The 19,706-nt window shown below is 39.0% G+C and overlaps 1 protein-coding gene and 1 pseudogene across 21 annotated transcripts in view; both read left to right on the forward strand.

Annotated features, from left to right (window-relative positions):
* FER (FER tyrosine kinase) overlaps positions 1–19,706 on the forward strand; it is a 448,945-nt gene that overhangs the window by 24,183 nt on the left and 405,056 nt on the right. For 2 of the 21 annotated variants that reach the window (XM_047416935.1, XM_047416937.1), the window contains exon 1: positions 10,586–10,676. The exons of 18 other annotated variants lie outside the window; for them this stretch is intronic. The gene's annotated coding sequence lies outside the window, so the exon portion shown is untranslated. Of the gene's footprint in view, positions 1–10,583; positions 10,677–19,706 lie in introns of those variants that run through there. One more of the 21 variants, NM_001308038.2, reaches the window with a different exon arrangement.
* On the forward strand, positions 11,926–13,518 carry RACK1P1 (RACK1 pseudogene 1; annotated as a pseudogene).

Here is a 19,706-nt window from a genome sequence, read left to right on the forward strand (position 1 = left end):
GAGGGATGGAACTGCGAAGGGGGAATGCAGCTCTCTGCAGCCTCTTTTATAGGGCATTAATTCTGTCTATGAGTGCAGATCATTCATGGCCTAGTCACCTCCTGAGGGCCCCTACTCTTAATACTGTCACCTTGGGGGGTTAAGTTGAATTTTGGAGGGACACATATATTCAAACCATAGTAGTGTTTAATGCAGTGGTTCGTATTCAGATCTCCCCTGTTATGCCATATATATATGTATGTATATATATATACACATATATATGTATATATTTTGTTGTTGTTGTTATAGGATTCAAGCAGGTTTCATGTATTGCATTTGCTTCTTATGCCTCTTTATTCTTTTTTATTTTCAAACAGCTGCTTGCTTTTTTTTTCATGATCTGTATTTTCTTTTAAGAGATAAGATTTGTATGTACTTAACATCTCTTCTGGGAATTGCCTGGTTTCTTAGAATACTATTCAACCAAAATTTATTTGCAGTTTGCCTCTTTGTTTAAATTCCCTGAGATAGCTGGAGATAACATTGTCATTTCCAAGCTTTTTTTTCCTCAAAACATAATTTCAACTTTAAATATACATGACATTGGCTGTGGTTTTTACATTTGGTTGCATTAAGTTAAAGATAAGAAAACTGGGAGATGTATGTTGGACTTGATCTGCTGGCACTAGTCAGCAATTGAAATTCAAGGCGTTCCTCCTCCACCCTCCATTGCCTATACTCACCTTCTAACCAGGAATTCTATCTAGGAATATGTATCTATTAATAGTAGCTTTGGACATTATAAAGCAGTAGCAGTCTAGTCTTTCAGAAATGCATACTTTCAAGTCAGAAGTAGATTAAAATGCAAATGATGTGTAAGCAAGTACATAGAGACACTCAGAGCTAAGCACAATCAGAAAAGATTTAATTAAATACCCTCTCTCTCTGGTACTTGTGTAGAACTGTCACTCAGCGAGTGTTCTCTTTTACCTTCTTTCCGTGCTTTTGCGTTTCATAGATTTGGTAGGTTTTCTTTGAGAAGGGTATGAAATTTGGAACGAGTGTAGCTTTTTTAGGAAGAGGTAGGGATAACTTTTAAGTAGGATATTTACTTTTATTTATTAATTTTTTATTATTTTAAGCTCAGGGTTACATGTGCAGGATGTGCAGGTTTATTATATAGGTAAACATGTGCCATGGTGGTTCGCTGCACAGATCATCCCATCACCTAGGTATTAAGCCCATCATCCATTAGCTATTCTTCCTGATGCTCTCCCTTTCCCCACACCCCTGCTGTCCCACAGGCCCCAGTGGGTATTGTTCCCCTCCCTGTGTCCATGTGTTCTCATTGTTCAGCTCCCACTTAGGAGTAAGAACATGTGGTATTTGGTTTTCTGTTCCTACGTTACTTTGCTGAGAATTATGGCTTCCAATTCCATCCATGTCCTTTCAAAGGACATAATCTCATTCCTTTTTATGGCTGCATAGTATTCCATGGTATATATGTACACTTTTTTTTAATCCATTCTATCATTGATGGCCATTTAGGTTAATTCCGTGTCTTTGCTGTTGTGAATAGTGTGGCAGTGAACATATGCATGCATGTATCTTTATAATAGAATGATCTGTATTTCACTGGGTATATACCCAGTAATGGGATTGCTGGGTCAAATGATATTTCTGTCTCTAGGTCTTTGAGGAATCGCCACACTGTCTTCCACAATGGTTGAACTAATTTACACTACCACCAACAGTGTAAATGCATTCATTTTTCTCCACAACCTCACCAACATCTGTTGGTTTTTGACTTTTTAATAATAACCATTCTGACTGGTGTGAGATGGTATCTCATTGTGGTTTTTGTTTGTTTGTTTATTTTACTTTAAGTTCTGGTATACATGTGCAGAATGTTCAGGTTTATTACATAGGTATATGTGTGCCATGGTGGTTTGCCGCACCTATTGACCCATCCTGTAAGTTCCCTCCCCTCACCTCCTCACCCCCCAACAGGCCCTGGTATGTGTTGTTCCCCTCCCTGTGTCCATGTGTTCTGATTGTTCACCTCCCACTTATGAGTGAGAACGTGGGATGTTTGGTTTTCTGTTCCTGTGTTAGTTTGCTGGGGATGATGGCTTGCAGCTTCATCCATGTCCCTGTAAAAGATATGAGCTCATTCCTTTTTATGGCTGCATAGTATTCCATGGTGTGTATGTACCACATTTTCTTTATCCAGTCTATCATTGATGGGCATTTGGGTTGGTTCTGTCTCTGCTATTTTAAATAGTGCTGCTGCAATAAACATACGTGTGTGTGTGTCTTTATAGTAGAATGATTTATGTTCCTTTGGATATAGACCCAGTAATGGGATTGCTGGGTCAAGTTGTATTTCTGGTTCTAGATCCTTGAGGAATTGCCATACTGTCTTCCACAATGGTTGAACTAATTTACATTCCCATCAACAGTGTAAAAGCATTCGTATTTCTCCACAGCCTCTCCAGCATCTATTTTTTCTTGACTTTTTAATAATCACCATTGTGATTGGCATGAGAGGTTATCTCATTGTGCTTTTGATTTGCATTTCTTTAACGATCAGTGGAGCTTTTTTTCATGTTTGTTGGCTACATAAATGTCTTTTTTTGAGATGTGTCTGTTCATATCCTTTGCCCACTTTTAGAAGGGTTTTTTTTTTCTTGTAAATTTGTTTTAGTTCCTTGAAAATTTTGGATATTAGACTTTTGTCACATGGGTAGATTGCAAAAATTTTCTCCCATTCTGTAGGTTGCCTGTTCACTCTGATGATAGTTTCTTTCACTGTGCAGAAGCTCTTTAGTTTAATTAGATCCCATGTGTCAATTTTGGCTTTTGTTGCAATTGTTTTTGGCATTTTCATCATGAAGTCTTTGCTCATGCCTATGTCCTGAATGATTTTGTCTAGGTTTTCTTCTAGAATTTTTATGGTTTTGGGTTTTAAATTTAAATCTTTAATCCATCTGAGTTAATTTTTTTGTAGGGTGTAAGGAAGTGGTCCAGTTTCAGTTTTCTGCATATGGCTAGCCAGTTTTCTCAGCACCATTTATTGACTAGGAGATCCTTTCCCCATTGCTTGTTTTTGTCAGGTTTGTCAAGGATCAGTTGGTTGTAGATGTGTGGTGTTATTTCTGAGGTCCCTGTTCTGTTCCATTTGTCTATATATCTGTTTTGGTACTAGTACCATGAATGAATTTTGAATGAATTAATTGTATCCTCATTACCTGTGAACTTGTCTAGTTATTTTTACTACACTGTAAATTGTTTGAAGGCAGTAATCTAGATTTTATTCATCTTTGTATCCCTTACGATTATCTGTCACATGATTCCCTAATAAATGCCTGTTGATTTATATCAATACCTTAAAGAAAACATTTTTGTTAATAATTCTGCTCTCCTTAAATAATTTTAAATATCAGTACTTCAAATGTAGTTTAAAAATAAAAATATAATAGTTGATTTAAAAGCAAACATGTTATTCATTTGTTTATAGACTTTCAAAGTTTTTATTAATTGTTTTCTCTCAGTGGGAGATCATCATGCGTTAATGTTGCTCCAATAGGCTGGCCAGTCAGGTGCTGTTTCACTTGCATGTAACTTTTATATTAAATTGAGTTAGAACCAACACTTTCAAATTAAGAAAGCATAGGAGGAGTTTTAAATATTATGTCCATAGGTAGTGAAGGTCAGCATATGTTAATTGGTAATGAATGATATTATTTTGGTAGCTAAGCTTTGGTGACTGTTCATTTCTGCGTTTAAGTGCTTCTGAAAAAAGACCTCGCTTTGTATTCATGTGAGGTTAGTTTTTTGGTTTGTACTTGCATGCTTAGTGGCTTTTTGTGACTTTGTTTCTATCTTGCTGTGGCAGCTTAATATTTTATTCAAACACAGTCACTCTATTTGTGACTTCTAACTGTCAGTATTGAAGCATGTAAAAGGTAGGAAATACCTTATGATAATTCATCTTGTACTTTATTTTATAGTCTTTATACAAACATATTCTGATAATATAACTTGAACCATAAACTAATTTTGATAGGTTTTTATTAGTCAAGGATTATAAATTCAAGCTGTATTGAATTTCCTTCTAGTTAATAAGAATATATGTTGGGGGAAGAATGAAGGATTTCTTATTTCTGTTACATAGTTTTTATTCACGTATTTCTGATTTTTATAAATTAGTGTACTTTCAGTAGTATAGTTGAATCTCTATATCAATGTTAAAATAAATAAATGAATATTTTCAACCATAAAACATAATCCTGTTAAAAAATAAATTGCCCCTACAATTTAGGCAATTTATTACTAATTACAAAAAAGCAAATATTTAAAACTAATTAAATTTCATGTTAGGTAAAAACAATATTTCCATCTTTGTACTTGGAGAATGTAAAAATTGCCAGTTGTGGAGGCAAAAGTTGAAAAACAGGAGACATTTTATACAGATACTTGCATATACCCTTATATTCACAAGAAATACTGTGGGAATCCGATTATCCTTCCAAGGAAACTAGTTATCTGTTTTACATTTTGCTTTTTAATAACTTCCATTTCTGTTTAAAAACTGTGTATTTATAGATTTATTTTATGTAAATTAAACTTCTGATTTTAGAAAACAGCAATTTTAATGGTTTTTTAAAAAAGTTTTAAATCAGTATTTATGGTGAATTGAAAACTCAACATGTAAGCACTCACTTAATCCTAAATACCAAATTAAATAACATTAAACAAGATAGATTTAAATAAATCTAAATGGTCAATACTTTGTAGGATTTTTACTAGTTTTGCTTTTTAAAAATATACTTTTTAAAAGTAGATACTGTTGCTAATAACATGCATACACTTTTGTGTAATATTCTGTTTCTGCCTGATTTATACTTACTATGCAGGAAATCATAGAAACTATTGTTTAAAAATCTCATTTTTTTAACCTCGTCATGCCAGGCATATTGGCCTATGCCTGTAATCCCAGCACGTTGGGAGGCCAGGGTGGGAGGATTGCTTGAGGCCAGAAGTTGGAGACCAGCCTGGGATTATTGTTGTTGTTTTTTAACTGGTGAATTTGGAAAGATCTTTATAGTTATAAATTGTACTTTGTCAGATATATGGCTTGCAGATATGGCTTGCAGATATTTGCTCCCAATCTGTAGCTGGTCTTATTCTTATTTTTATTTTTATGTAATAGAATTTTTTTAGAGCAGTTTTAAGTTAACAGCAAAATTTGGAGAAAGGTACAGAGATTTCCCACATACTTCCACCCACTACATATCCTCTGTTATCAATATTTCTCACCAGAGTGGTATATTTGTTTACAATTGATGAACCTACACTGATATGTCATTATCCCCCAAAGACTGTAGTTTACATTAGGGTTCACTCTTGGCATTGTACATATTATGGGTTTGGAAAAATATACAGTGACATGTATGCACCATTATAGCATCATAGAGGGTAGTTTCACTGTCCTAAAAATCCTCTGTACTCCAACTATTCATTCCTCTCTTCCCTCTAAACCCTGGCAACCACTGATCTTTTTACTGTTGTATGAGTCCATTTTCACACTGCTGATAAAGACATACCTGAGACTGGGAATTTTACAAAAGAAAGAGGTTTATTGGACTTACAGTTCCACATGACTGGGGAGGCCTCACAATCATGGTGGAAGGCAAGGAGGAGCAAGTCACATCTTACGTGGATGGCAGCAGGCAAAGAGAGAGCTTCTGTAGAGAAACTCCCATTTTTAAAACCATCAGATCTCGTGAGACCCATTCACGATCAAGAGAATAGCAAGGGAAAGACCCACCCCCATGATTCAGTCATCTCCCACAGGGTCCCTCCCACAACATGTGGGAATTATGGGAGCTACAAGATGAGATTTGGGTGGGGACACAGAACCAAATCATATCAACTGTCTTCATAGTATTGCTTTTTTCAGAATGTCATATAGGTATAATTGTGTCATATATAGCCTTTTCTGATAGACTTCTTTCATTTAGTAAGGTGCATTTAAATTTCTCCATGTCTTTTCATGGCTTGATAGTTCAGTTCTTTTTAGTGCTGAATAATATTCCATTGTTTGTATTTACCACAGTTCATCTATTCACCTACTGAAAGACATCTTGGTTGCTTCCAAGTTTTGGCAATTATGAATAAATCTGCTGTAAACATTGATGTTCAATGTTCAGGTTTTTGTGTGGATATAAAATTTCAACTCTTTCCATACCAAGGACTTACGGGGCATTTAATTTAATCATAGTTAATATGATTGCATTTTGTATGGTAAGAGTATGTTTAGTTTTGTAAGAAACTGCCAAACTGTCTTCCAAAGTGGCCATACCATTTTGCATTCTTACCAGCAATAAATGAAAGTTCCTGTTGTTCCACATCCTCACCAGCATTTAGTGTAAACAGCGTCCTGGATTTTGGCTGTTCTGATAAATGTGAGGTGGTGTCTCAATGTTGTTTTAATGTGCATTTCCTAGAAATCATGTGATGTGGAGCATCTTTTCATATGCTTATTTTCTGTCCGTGTATATTATTTGGTGAGTTGTCTGTTAAGGTCTGTGGCCCATTTTTAAATTGGGTTGTTTTCTTATTATTCTTTGTACATTTTGGATAACGGTCCTTTTTCAGAAATATCTGTTATAAATATATTTTCCCAGTTTGTGGTTTATCTTTTCATTCTCTTGACAGTGTGTTTCAAAGAGCAGAAAATATAATTTTAATGAAGTTCAGCTTATTCTTTCTTTCATGGATTGTGCCTTTGGTGTTAAATCTCAAAAGTCATATTCAAACTCAAGGGAATCTAAATTTTCTCCTATGTTGTCCTCTAGGAGTTTTACTTTTGCATTTTACATTTTGGCCTATGATTGATTTTGAGTTAATTTTTGTGAAGTGTGTAAGATCTGTGTCTAGGCTCTTTTTTTTTTTTGCAAGTGGATGTCCAATTGTTCTAGCACCATATAGTGAAAAGACTATCTTTTCTTGGTTGTATTGCTTTCTTTGTCAAAGATCAGTTGACTGTATTTTTGTTGATCTATTTGTATACTCTCTATTCTGTTCTATCGGTCTATTTGTCTGTTCTTTTGCTCATGCCACACTTGTCTTGATTACTGTAACTTTATTGTAAGTCTTGAAACTGGGCAGTATCAGTCTTCCAACTTTATTCTTTTCCTTTAATGCTGTGTTGGCTATTCTGGGTCTTTTGCCAGCATCTATTTACTGATCTACACAAAATAACTTGATAAGATTTTGATTGGGATTAAATTGAATCTATAAATGAAATTGGGAAGAATTGACATTTTGACAATATTGACTCTTCTTGTCCATGAACATGGAATATCTCTTCATTTATTTAGTTCTTTGATTTCTTTAATCAAAAGTGTGTAAGTTTTTCTCATATTCATCTTGAACATATTTTGTTAGATTTATATGTAAGTATGTCATTTTGGAGGCTACCAATATAAATGTTGTTGTGTTTTTACTTTCAAATTGTACTTGTTCATTGCTGGTATGTAGGAAAGCAATTGACTTTTGTGTATTAGCCTTGAAGCCTGCCATTGCTGTAATTGCATATTAGTTCAAGGAGTTCGTTGGGTCAATTCTTTCAGATTTTCTACACAGTCAATCTTGTCATCTGTGAACAAACACAGTTTTATTTTATTTTTTCCGATCAGTACACTTTAAAAATCTCCTTCTTATCTCACTGCATTAGCTAGGACTTCCAGTAAGATGTTGAGAAGGAGAGGTGACGGGACAACCTTGCCTTGTTCCGGATTTTAGTAGGATCAAAATAATAAAATACTAATTACCACCTCCATCCTTTGTACCATTGCTGTTATTTATTACACTTATAGATAAACATACATAAGCATATATCTGTATACACACACATAAGCATACATAATCGAATATATTGTTGCTGCTATTTTGAACAAATGCTTATGTGTTAGATCGACTGAGAGTGAGAAAAACACATAAGCATACATAATCAAATATATTGTTGCTGCTATTTTGAACAGATGCTTATGTGTTAGATCAATTGAGAGTAAGAAAAACAAATGTTCTTTAAATCTTACCTTCACTTATTCATCTCCAGTACTTTTCTTTATATAGATCTCAATTTCTGACCTCTATCATTTTTCTTCCCCCTGAAGAACTTTTCTTTTGGACATTTCTTGCAAGTTGGATCTACTGGCAACAAATTCCCTCAATATTTATGTTTGAGAAACTATTTCTCTTTCACTTTTGAAGGATAATTTTTCAAGGTACATAATTCTAGGTTAGTGGGTTTTTTTTTTTTAATTTTTTACTTTTTATCTTAAGATTTTAAATAATTCACTTCACTCCCTTCTTGCTTATATGGTTTTGGAGGTAATGTCAATGTAATTATTCTCTTTGCTCTTTGATAGGTAATGTCTTTTTTCCACTGTCTTCTTTCAGGATTTTTTCTTTATCTTTTATTTTCTGTAGTTTGAATTGTGATAAGCCTAGGTGTAGTTTTTTGTTGTTGTTGGTTGTTTGTTTTTTAATCATTATCCTGCTTGGAGTTTTCTGAGCTTTTTGGATTGGTGGTTTAGTGCTGACATTGATTTGGTGAAATTGTCATTTATTATTGTTTCAAATATTTTTTCTGTTCCTTTCTCTCATTCTTCTTTTGGTATTCCCATTACATGTATGTTACACCTTTTTTAGTTGTCCCACAGTTTTTGTATATTCTGCTCTGTATTTTTTCAGTCTATTTTCTGTTTGCTTTGTAGTTTTTTTTTTTAGGTATCTATTGGGATATCCCTTAGATATTCTTTCCTCAGCTGTGTCCAGTCTACTAGACTGAGCCTATCAACTTAATTGAACCCAACATAGGCATTCTTCATTTCTGTTACAGTGTTTTTGATCTCTGGTGTTTCTTTTTGGTTCTGTCTTAGAATTTTCATTTCTCTGCTTACATTGCCCATCTGTTCTTATATGCAGTCTATTTTATCCATTAGAACCCTTAGCATATTAATCATAGTTGTTTTTAGTAATTGAGCTGATGATTCTCACATCCTTTGCCATGTCTGAGTCTGGTTCTTATACTAGCTCTCTTTCTTCAGACTGTGTTTTTTTGTTTGTTTGTTTGAGATGGAGTCTCACTCTGTCACCCAGGCTGGAGTGCAGTGGTATGATCTTGGCATACTGCAACCTCTGCTTCCTGGGTTCAAGCGATTATCCTGCCTCAGCCTCCCAAGTAGCTAGGATTACAGGCGCCTGCTTACCACACCTGGCTAATTTTTGTGTTTTTAGTAGAGATGGCATTTCACCATGTTGGCCAGGCTGGTCTTGAACTCCTGACCTCAGGTGATCCACCTGCCTCGGCCTCCCAAAGTGCTGGGATTACAGGCGTGAGCCACCGTGCCCAGCCCAGCCTGTGTTTTTTGCCTTTTAGTGTGACATATAAATTTTTCTTGATAGCTGAAGCTGATGTCTTGGGTAAAAGGAGCTGCTGTATAGGTCTTTAGTAATGTGGCAGTAAGGTGTTGGGGGATAGGAAGCATTCTACAGTCCAATGATTATATCTCAGTCTTTTAATGAGTCTCTGTGTCTCTGGGTGTGACCTTCACAGATGTTTGTTAGCACTATCCCCGTCTCCCAAGGTAAGACAGCATGGCTAGTATGGGCTGCAATTGGTATTTCCTATTTCCCTTCCTATAAGTTAGTTAGACTCTGATAGAACCCCAGCAGGCTCTGACTAAATAGTTTCTCCTGAAGGAAAGACCTTATTAAGAACAGAATGTTCTAGCTTATTTAAAAATGATTTTGTTTTCCCTCCCTCTGTCAGAAGTAATAGGGTTTTTTTTTTTTCCCCCACCCTGTCATACATACTGTGAGAACCATATTGATTTACTGGAGGTGAAACTAATAAAAGTATGAAGGCTGTCTTATGACTGAGTCCCCCTGGCTTTTTAAGTTTCCCACTTGTTGGCACTGAGCCTTCAGCAGTTTGTCAATTACAGTTCAGTTTTTCCTACCCTGCACTGGTTCCTGCAGAGTTTTCTGCTTCAGTTTGATGGGATTCTTTGCAGTCACCTGTTCCTCCAGTTTGTGGGGCAGTGGTTTGCCGTGTGACTTCATTTCTCTTACTGATCCTAGAAGAGTTGTAGATTTTTCAGTTTGTTTAGCTTTTCTTGTTGGTAGGATGGCCTAGTGACTTCCAAGTATTTTTTTTTTTTTTAAGAGATGAAATTTTGCTATGTTGCCCAAGCTGGACTCAAACTCATGGCCTTAAATGATCCTCCCCCTTCAACCTCCTGCATAGACCACGTTTCTTACATGCCCAGTAGAAGCCAGAAGTTGCAACTTGTTTTATCTTGTTCACATGAGCAAAATATTTTACTTTTGATGAGGTCCATTTTATTCATTTTTTCTTTTTTGGATTGTGGTTTTGGTATCAAATCTAAGGACTCTGCCTAGCTTTAGATCTGAAAGATTTCCTCCTGTATTTTTTTTCTCTAAATGTTAGCAGCTTTATGTTTACATGTAAGTCCATAATCCTTTTGAGTTAAATTTTTGTTTTCTTTTTATTTTTTTGGTAGAGATGGGGTCGCGCTTTGTTGCCTAGGCTGATCTTGAACTCCTGGGCTCAAGCAATATGCCTGCTTTGGCCTCTCAGAGTGCTGGGATTACAGGTATGAGCCACTGTGCAAGGACTGAGTTAAATTTTGTAACAGTTGCCAGTCAAGTTTCTTTTTTCTTTTCTGCCAATAGATGCCTAATTGCCCCTGTACTGTTTGTTGAAAAGGCTATTCTTCTTCTATTGAATTACTGTTAGCCCTTTGTCAAAAATCAGTTAAACATATTTGTGTTGGTTATTCCTGGATTCTCTGTTCTGTTTCATTGATCTATTTTCTGTCTTCTACTAATAGTACACTGTCTTGATTTCTGTAGCTCTACAGCAGGCTGGACCATATTTCTTTGAATTATCTTTCAGTCTGGCTCTCTTTCTCTTCTCCTTGCACTCTGATGATACAAATGTTGGATCTTTTGTTGTTGTCCCACAGGTCCGTGAGGCTTTCTTAATTTTTTCTATTTTTTTCTGTGTTGTTTGGATTGGGTGAATTCTGTTGTTCTGTCCATAAGCTCATTGACTGTATCCTGTGTCATCTTCACTCTACTATTGAGCCTATCTAGCTTGTCTTTTGTTATTGCATTTCTTAGTTACATAATTTTCATCTGGTTATTTTTATAACTTTTATTTCCTTGCTTTGATCTTCTATTTTTACATTTGTTTTAAGAGAATTTACAATTGATTGTTGAAGCATTTTTACGATGGTTGTTTTAAAATTCTTGTCAGATAATTTCAACATCTGATTCATCTAGGTGTTTGCATTGGTTGATTGTCTTCTCTCATTCAAGTTATGATTTTTCTTGGTTCTTGGTGTGACAGGTGATTTCCATTTGAAACTTAAATATTTTGTCTAATATGTTAGGAGATTCTGAGGGCTAGTTCAACCTTTTATTTTCACAAGCAATCATCCTGTTTAGGTTTATCATGCAGGTCTTAGCCTATATTTTTGTGGGTTGTGCTTCCAATGATAGTTTAATTTTGAGTCTGCACTGTTGTTTTGGTTGGCTTCTTGTATCTAGTGGCACTAGGGCTCCCACTGGTCTCTGCTGATGCTGCCTGAGGGAGTAGGGATTCATTCTTAGGCTGAGTTAGTGTATATCTATTGCTGGGGAAGGGATGGGCTGGGATTTCCTTACCATGCTCCCTGCTACCCTGATGTCTCTGGACAGGGGAGGAGAGTCTTGGACATGTGGAGAACAAGAGGCTTCCTGAGATTGGATATCTAGCAAAACTGGGTTTGGCTTGCCAGTTCTGACTGCCTGTTCTGATGTCTGTGGGTAGAGAAGGAGATCCTCAGACCTGTGAAGGCTGAGGTTCTTGACTGGTTCCTGACTAGGCCCTCTGGTTTCATGCCTGTCTTTGTTTCTCTTGATGGAAAAGGGGAATCTCGATTTGCCATCATCATGACTGAGCAGATGACCCTTTGTGGCACCCTCAGGGCCCCAACGGCTGGGTAAACCAGACCACTGCTACTCCACAGTTCCTGGACAAGATCCTGTCCACCTCTCAAGACAAGAGCATCATTACGTAGAAATTGAGCAGGGAAGATTCCAACTATGGCATCCCACAACATGCTCTGTGGGGTCACTCCCACTTTTTTAGTGACTTGGTCACCTCCTCAGATGGTCACATTACCCTCTCAAGCTCCTTGGATGGAACCCCATGCCTCTAGGATTTCACAATGGGCATCACCGTGAGACAATTTGTGGGCCATACCAAGGACGTGCTGAATGTGGCCTCCCCTGACAACCAGCAGATTGTCTGTGGATCATGAGATAAAACCTCAAGTTATAGAAAACCCTGGGTGCCAAGACCAGCTTGTTCGTGGAGACCCTAACTCAGCGGCGCTAGAGGAATTAAAGACGCACACACAGAAATATAACATGTGGAGTGGGAAATCAGGGGTCTCACAGGCTTCAGAGCTGAGAGCCCCAAACAGAGATTTACCCACATATTTATTGACAGCAAGCCAGTGATAAGCATTGTTTCTGTAGATTATAGATTTACTAAAAGTATTCCTTACGGGAAACAAAGGGATGGGCTGAAACAAAGGGATGGGCTCTGGCTAATTATCTGCAGCAGGAACATGTCCCTCAGGCACAGATCGCTCCTGCTATAGTTTGTGGTTTAGGAATGCCTTAAGTGGTTTTCTCGCCCTGGGTGGGCCAGGTGTTTCTTGCCCTCATTCCGGTAAACTGACAGCCTTATAGCATGGGAGTCATGGCCATCATGAACATATCACAGTGCTGCAGAGATTTTATGGCCAGTTTTGGGGCCAGTTTATGGCCAGATTTGGGGGCCTGTTCCCAACACCTGGGTGTATGCAGATACACTGTCTAGTATGAGAGTCACAGAGTGGGTGTCTTGTGTTCGCTTCTTGCCTAACAGCAGCAACCCTATCACTGTCTCCTGTAGCTGGGACAAGCTGGTCAAGGTATGGAATCTGGCTAACTGCAAGCTGAAGACCAACCACATTGGCCACACAGGTTATCTGAACACTGTGACTATGTCTCCAAATGGATCCCTCTGTGCATCTGGAGGCAAGGATGGCCAGGCCATGCTGTGGGATCTCAACGAAGGCAAACACCTTTATATGCCAGATGGTGGGGGCATTATCAACACCCTGTGCTTCAGCCCCAACTGCTACTGGCTCTGTGCTGCCATGGGCCCCAGCATCAAGATCTGGGACTTAGGGGTAAATATCATCGTAGATGAACTGAAGCAAGAAGTTATTAGTACTGGCAGCAAGGCAGAACCACCCCAGTGTACCTCCCTGGCCTGGTCTGTTGGTGGTCATTTGTTTGCTGGCTACACAGACAACCTGGTGTGAGTGTGGCAGGTGACATGGGCACCTGCTAGAAGTTTATGGCAGAGCTTTAGAAATTAAGAAACGAACAAACTGGAAAAAAAAAAGTGGGGAGTCTCAGGCCTTATGGTGAAGGAGAGTGTTTCCCCTGGCTGTTTGTTTTTGTTGAGGTTCCTAGTTAATCTCTCTTGCTGGTGGTGTCTGGCTTCCTTGATATTTGTCAGAGGGACATCTATTCTATTCTGGGAGGAATTAGCCTGCATGGGCTGCCTTCTGCCCCTAGGCTGTGGCTGGGAAAAACCAGGTCTGTGTGGCCTTCTTCACTTGGGTGAGGTAGGCGTAAGTCATCCTGCCTCTGTGCTGTTCTTCTTGTTGTAGGGTTACAAAGGAGTTTGCCTTCTTCTTTCCACCTTCCAGAGTTCTTCGTTTGTCTCTTGCAGTATTTGTTTATATTTGTGCTTAGTGGGGATTAACTGGAAAAAATGGTCTGTGCCATCTTGTCTGGACCACAAGCTGGGTTTTCCTTCTAATTTCAGTTTCTGTGGCATGTGAGTGTGCAGGTAAACAAGTGGAGAGATACTCAGCAACACCCTGAGTTTGGCTTTGTTGGAGGCCCTGAGATTTACTCACTTTTAAAAGAGTTCATTAAACATCCTCTATGCCTGGACTTAAATTTCATTCACCAGTTCATCATAGAGTTCTGGAAAATTGTAAGCCAGTGCTGTCCTCCCTATGTTTTCTAAAGCCCTATGCTGGTACAGAGGGACTTTCTCTTTAGATATTTTCTTGACTTTCCCTAGTTTGGTCTATTCACTCTCTGCCTGCTTCTTTTCATATTGGAGTATCCAGTGTGAAGTCTCAGGATTTTGTTAACTTTTCTTTGCCAGAATATCTTCTGGCCTGGTTGGGGTAGTATTGGACTCACTGAAACCATGCTGTGAAACTTACGGAATAAGGTTGTACTCCTTTATTTGTTGGTGATATGTTTAAATTTTTGTTTTGTGTTTTTTCTTTTTTTGAGACGGAGTCTTGCTCCATCACACAGGCTGGAGTGCAGTGATGCGAGGGGGGCTCACTGCAAGCTCTGCCTCCCGGGTTCAAGTCATTCTCCTGTCTCAGCCTACCAAGCAGCTGGGGCTACAGGAGCCTGCTAGCACGCCCAGCTAATTTTTTGTATGTTTAGTGGAGACAGGGTTTCACTGTGTTAGCCAGAATGGTCTCGATCTCCTAACCTCGTGATCCGCCCACCTCAGCCTCCCAAAGTGCTGGGATTACAGGCATGAGCCACCGTGCCCGGCCAAATTTTTGTTTTTTCTTAAACCCTATTTTTTTTCACTATTGTCAGTAGGAGCTTTTGAAGTACTGCTTGATGATGAGATTTTTGCAGTTTTTACATCTTCCTCTAACTTTTGACATTGCTAATGATGGTGGTGGCAGCCTATCTGGAGCAGCTGCTGTGGAGACGCCAGCTGTGGCTGGGGAGGTGTGGCCAGGGCTGCACCCATCGGGGCTGTGCACTCTGCAGAGCCAGCAGGGGCTGGGAACAGGCGGGAGCTTTGTGCTCCTGGGTGCAGCTGCAGCTGCCCAGCTGCAGCTTGGGGCCCAGGAAGCCCCCTGCCCCTGTAGGCTTGAAAGTGCCTGCTCTCACCCCCTGGCCTCTCCCTGCTTCTGGCGCCTGCTCCAGGGTGGAGCAAAGCTGTGGCCAAGTCCAGGCACTGTTGCAACCCGGCCAGGTATGTGCATGCTCAGAGTGGTGCTGATATGCCAGCCCCTTGCCACCATCGTCCCCTCTGGACTTTGGGTATCGACAAGCGTAGGAGGGGGGCCGCAGGGGCTGAGGGCAGCTTGGCACCAGCCTGCAGGCGCCTCTTGGGACAGTCAGTTTGGGTGCCGTGGATGGCATGTTAAAGGCAGACAGGTTCCTAGGCAGAAAGGGGTGGGTCCCTGGTGAAACTTTACCTCAGGCCAGCGATGGCCTGAAGCCTGGGGGCTGGGCTGCCAGTTCTAGGTGAAGTCCGTGGCCCAGAGTGAGAACTTCATTGATGACTGTTTGGCAAATTTGATGGGGCTTTTTCTAGGCCCACCATGGCTGCCCATGGATGAATCAGTATGCAGTTCCCTGATTCTGAGCACATAAAAATCCCAGGCTCAGCCAGACACACATTAATCCAGATGACCTGCTTGCAGAAAGGAGCTACCCACTATGGGTCTCCTCCGCTGAGAGCTGGATGCTTGTTGGGACAACCTGCCTGTGGAAAGGAGCTGCCCACTACAGGTCTCCTCCCTTCTGAGTTGGGCACACATTGGGACAACCTGCCTGCAGAAAGGACCTACCCACTTTGAGTCTCCTGAGAGCCATTCTGTCGCTCAGTGAAGCTCCTCTCTGCCTTGCTCATCCTCCAGTTGTCTGCATACCTCATTCTTTCTGGATGTGGGACAAGTGCTTGGGACCTACTGAATGGTGGGACTAAAAAGAGCTGTAACACGAGCACAGTAGAAACATGCCCTCCAGTCACTACGCTGCGTGCAACGAGAAAGAGAGAAGATCTGTGGCCCTTCTGGGATTCCAGAGCTTGGGGCTACCTGAGCCAGGACTGTGACATGCTGTAACACCCTTTTTGGGACTCTGTGGTTCCTGGTATCTCTGAGCTTTCTGGTGCCATCGTTTTCCCCCTGTCCAGATGCTACTGAAGCTACGTGTTGTATGTCTGGTCCAACTGCAGCCTTGCACAGAGCCAGCGCCTGTGCTGGTGCCTGCCTGGAGCTGCCTGTCCTGCAGCAGCTGGTGTGCCTGGCTGTACACAGTGGACAGATCCCGCGCTTGCTCACTCACACACCCCTTGCTGCTCCACTCCTGGCTCACCCTTGGCATGTGTGGGATCCAGGCCAGTAGTGTGAGCTGAGTGCAGCCTGCCAGGCTGAGTGGATGGAATGAGTTCAGCGGGCACAAGTGAAACCCAAGCAGAGGCACCACTGGCTACAGAGGTTTCTGGCTGGCAAAGCAACACCCTAATGATCCTGCGACACTAATATCTTTTTTTTTTTTTCCCTCCTGATGCCTGTGACTCTGCCAGACCCCTGTTATCTTTTTGCTTACTTAATTTCTATCCTTTGGTTGGTTTCTCCTCCTTTCAGTCTTGGACTGCCAGGTTCTCATGGGTTTTATCCTTGACTCTCTGCTTTTCTGTCAACATTCAGTCTGTTGGTTTCATCTGTCACCTTTAAGTAATTGACTCTTGAATTTGGATTTTTAACCTTAATATTTTACCTAAAGGTAAAACTTGCAGCTGAAACGATTATAGTTTACTCAAAGTAGTTCCATATTCTTGTTCTTTCATTTCTATTGATACTGTCATGATTATTGATTTCTAAAGCCTTAAAAATTTTATTGAATTGTCTCTCTTTTGTTCACTAAATCCATTCACTAGGTCAAGAATCTTTCATTTTAATTCGCATTGACATTGTCAATTCTAGATCTTCATTTCTCAAGCTATGTTGGTATAATGGCTTCTTATGTCTTATTAGCTCCCAAATCAAAATCTATCTTTGTGTCTCTTTGTCCTTCTGTTTATTGAACGATAACATACACACAGAAAAGTGTACAAATCATAAGTGTTCAGCTTGATGAATTTTCACAAACTGACCATACTTGTGCAGCTAGTACCAACAAATTAATCTTTTTAAACTATTGTATTCATGATCTTGGTTTTCAAAAATTGTAACCTTGTGTTAACAAAAATTAATTTAAGGAGTTTGGGCTTTATTGGTTTCTTGAGCAGAGGACTAGCAGAAGATAAATTGGCATGCCATCTCCCACTACTTGTCACATAGAGTTTAATTTTGGAGATGTTTGCTATTTTAACTGTATCTCATACTCACTTTTTTTTTTTTGCCTTATACATCTCTATTTCCTGAAATACATTTCCCATTTGACTTTCTATATTCTAAATCATGATCATTATTTCAGTCCTAATTCATATCTTGCCATTTCTAAGAAATTTTCTGGGTTATTCCAGCTTTAATTAACTTGCAGTAATATTTGCAATAACAACAACAAAAACCCAGGAGATATCTGAAATATCTACCAACAGGAATTTTCTTTTTCTTCTTCTTCTTTTTTTTTTTTAAAAGACAGTGTCTCATTCTGTTGCCCTGGCTGGAGTGCAGTCTTGGCTCACTGCAACCTCCGCTTCCCAGGTTCAAGTGATTCTTGTGTCTCAGACTCCCAAGTAGCTAGGACTACAGGTGCACGCCACCATACCCAGCCAATTTTTGTATTTTTAGTAGAGATGGGGTTTTGCCATGTTGGACAGGCTGGTCTCGAACTCCTGACCTCAAGTGATCCACCTGCCTCAGCCTCCCAAAATGCTGGGATTACAGGTGTGAGCCACCACACCTGGCCCACCAGCAGGAATTTTTGATGAGAGAAAGGTAAACATTGTTATTACAATGCATTTAGAAACAGAAGTGATATTTTTCCAAGTTACAGAATAAAATGAACCACAATATCAGATACAGTTTTTTTTAAAAAATGTAAAATATTCGTTGGGTGCAATGGCTTGTGCCTGTAGTTTCAGCTACTTGGAAGGCCGAGGTGGGAGCATTGCTTGAGGCCAAGAGTTTGAGGTGGCAATGTGCTATTATTGTGCCTGTGAATAGCCACTGCACTCCAGCCTGGACAACATAGGGAGATCCCATCTTAAAAAACTGTATGTATACATATATGCATACACACCACACACACACACACACACACACACACACACACACACACTCTTACATACATATACATATGTGATTTTTTTTCTCTATTTGGAAAACTCTAATTTTTACCATGTCTTCAAATAAGATTATTGAAGTTAGAGAGCTAAAGCTCTTGCTTTTCTGTGTAGCTTAGAGGATATCAGCTGAATTAACAAGAAATTCACCTCTGGTATGGATGAACTAGAATGAAAGATAAAAGGTGTTTTTCTTCATTTCTTCTAACTGGCTCTGAAAGATTTTACTGCCTGAAATTCTAGGAAACTGGGGTACCAAATAAATTCTACCATCATTTTCAGGATTTATAATAAACAGGGTATTTTGGGGAAGCTTATGCTAACTGATCTTTAGATAATTATAAGTTATGCTGTAGTAATTTTTTTAAACAGCTTTTTTGAACTATTATTTATAACCAAAGAATTCAGCCGTTGAAATTGTACAATTTGTTTTTAGTACATTCACAGTTATGCAGGCACTACTACAATCAATGTTAGAACATTTTCATCACCACAAAAGGAAATCCAGCACCCACTAACAGTCATTCCTAATTTCACCCCACATTTGCCAGCCCTGATCAACTAGTAATCTAGTTTATAGATTTGCCCATTTTGAGCATTTCTTATTAATGAAATCATACCCTGTGATCTTTTGTGTCTGGTTTCTTTGACCTAGTAAAACATTTTCAAGGTTCATCCATGTTGTAGCCTGTATCAATACTTCCTTTTCATTGCCAAATTATATTCCATTGTATGGATGTTGTCCCATTTTATTTATCTGTTCACCTGTTGATGGATATTTGGGTTGGTTCTACTTTGCAGCTATTGTGAATAATGTTGCTTCAAACATTCATATGCAAGTTTTTGTATAGACATATGTTTTCATTTTGGTCGGGTATATACCTGGGAGGTGAATTTCTGGATCATATGCTAACTCTATGTTTTACGTTTCCAGGAACTGCCAAACTCTTTTCCGCAGTGGTTGCACCATTTAATGTTTCAGCTAGCAAGGGATGAAGATTCCATTCTCTTCAGTGCTAAACTACATGTCTGTCTTTTTTGATTAGAGACATTCTAATGGTGTGAAATAGTTATCTCATTATAGTTCTGATTTGAATTTTCCTGATATATTGAGCATCTTTTCATGAGCCTATTGGACATTTGTACATTTTTCTTAGAGAACTGTCCATTCAAATCCTTTGTCCATTTTTTTGTTCGTTTTTCTTATTATTGAGTTGTAAAAATTCTTTATGTCCTCCATCCAGAAGTTCCTTATCATATATATATACACACACATATGTGTATATACATATATATGATATATATATATACATATATATATGATTTGTAAATATTTTCTCCCATTCTGTAGGTTGTCTTTTCACTTTCTTGATGGTGTCCTTTGAAGCATGGAAGTTTTAAATTTTGATGAAATCCAACTAATGTGTTTTTATTTTGTCATTTGTGCTTTTGTTGTTGTATCTAAGAAACCATTGCCTAAGCCAAGGTTACAAAGATTACTTGTATG

This window comes from Homo sapiens, chromosome 5 (assembly GCF_000001405.40).
Source record: "Homo sapiens chromosome 5, GRCh38.p14 Primary Assembly".
Classification (NCBI taxonomy): Eukaryota; Metazoa; Chordata; class Mammalia; order Primates; family Hominidae; genus Homo; species Homo sapiens.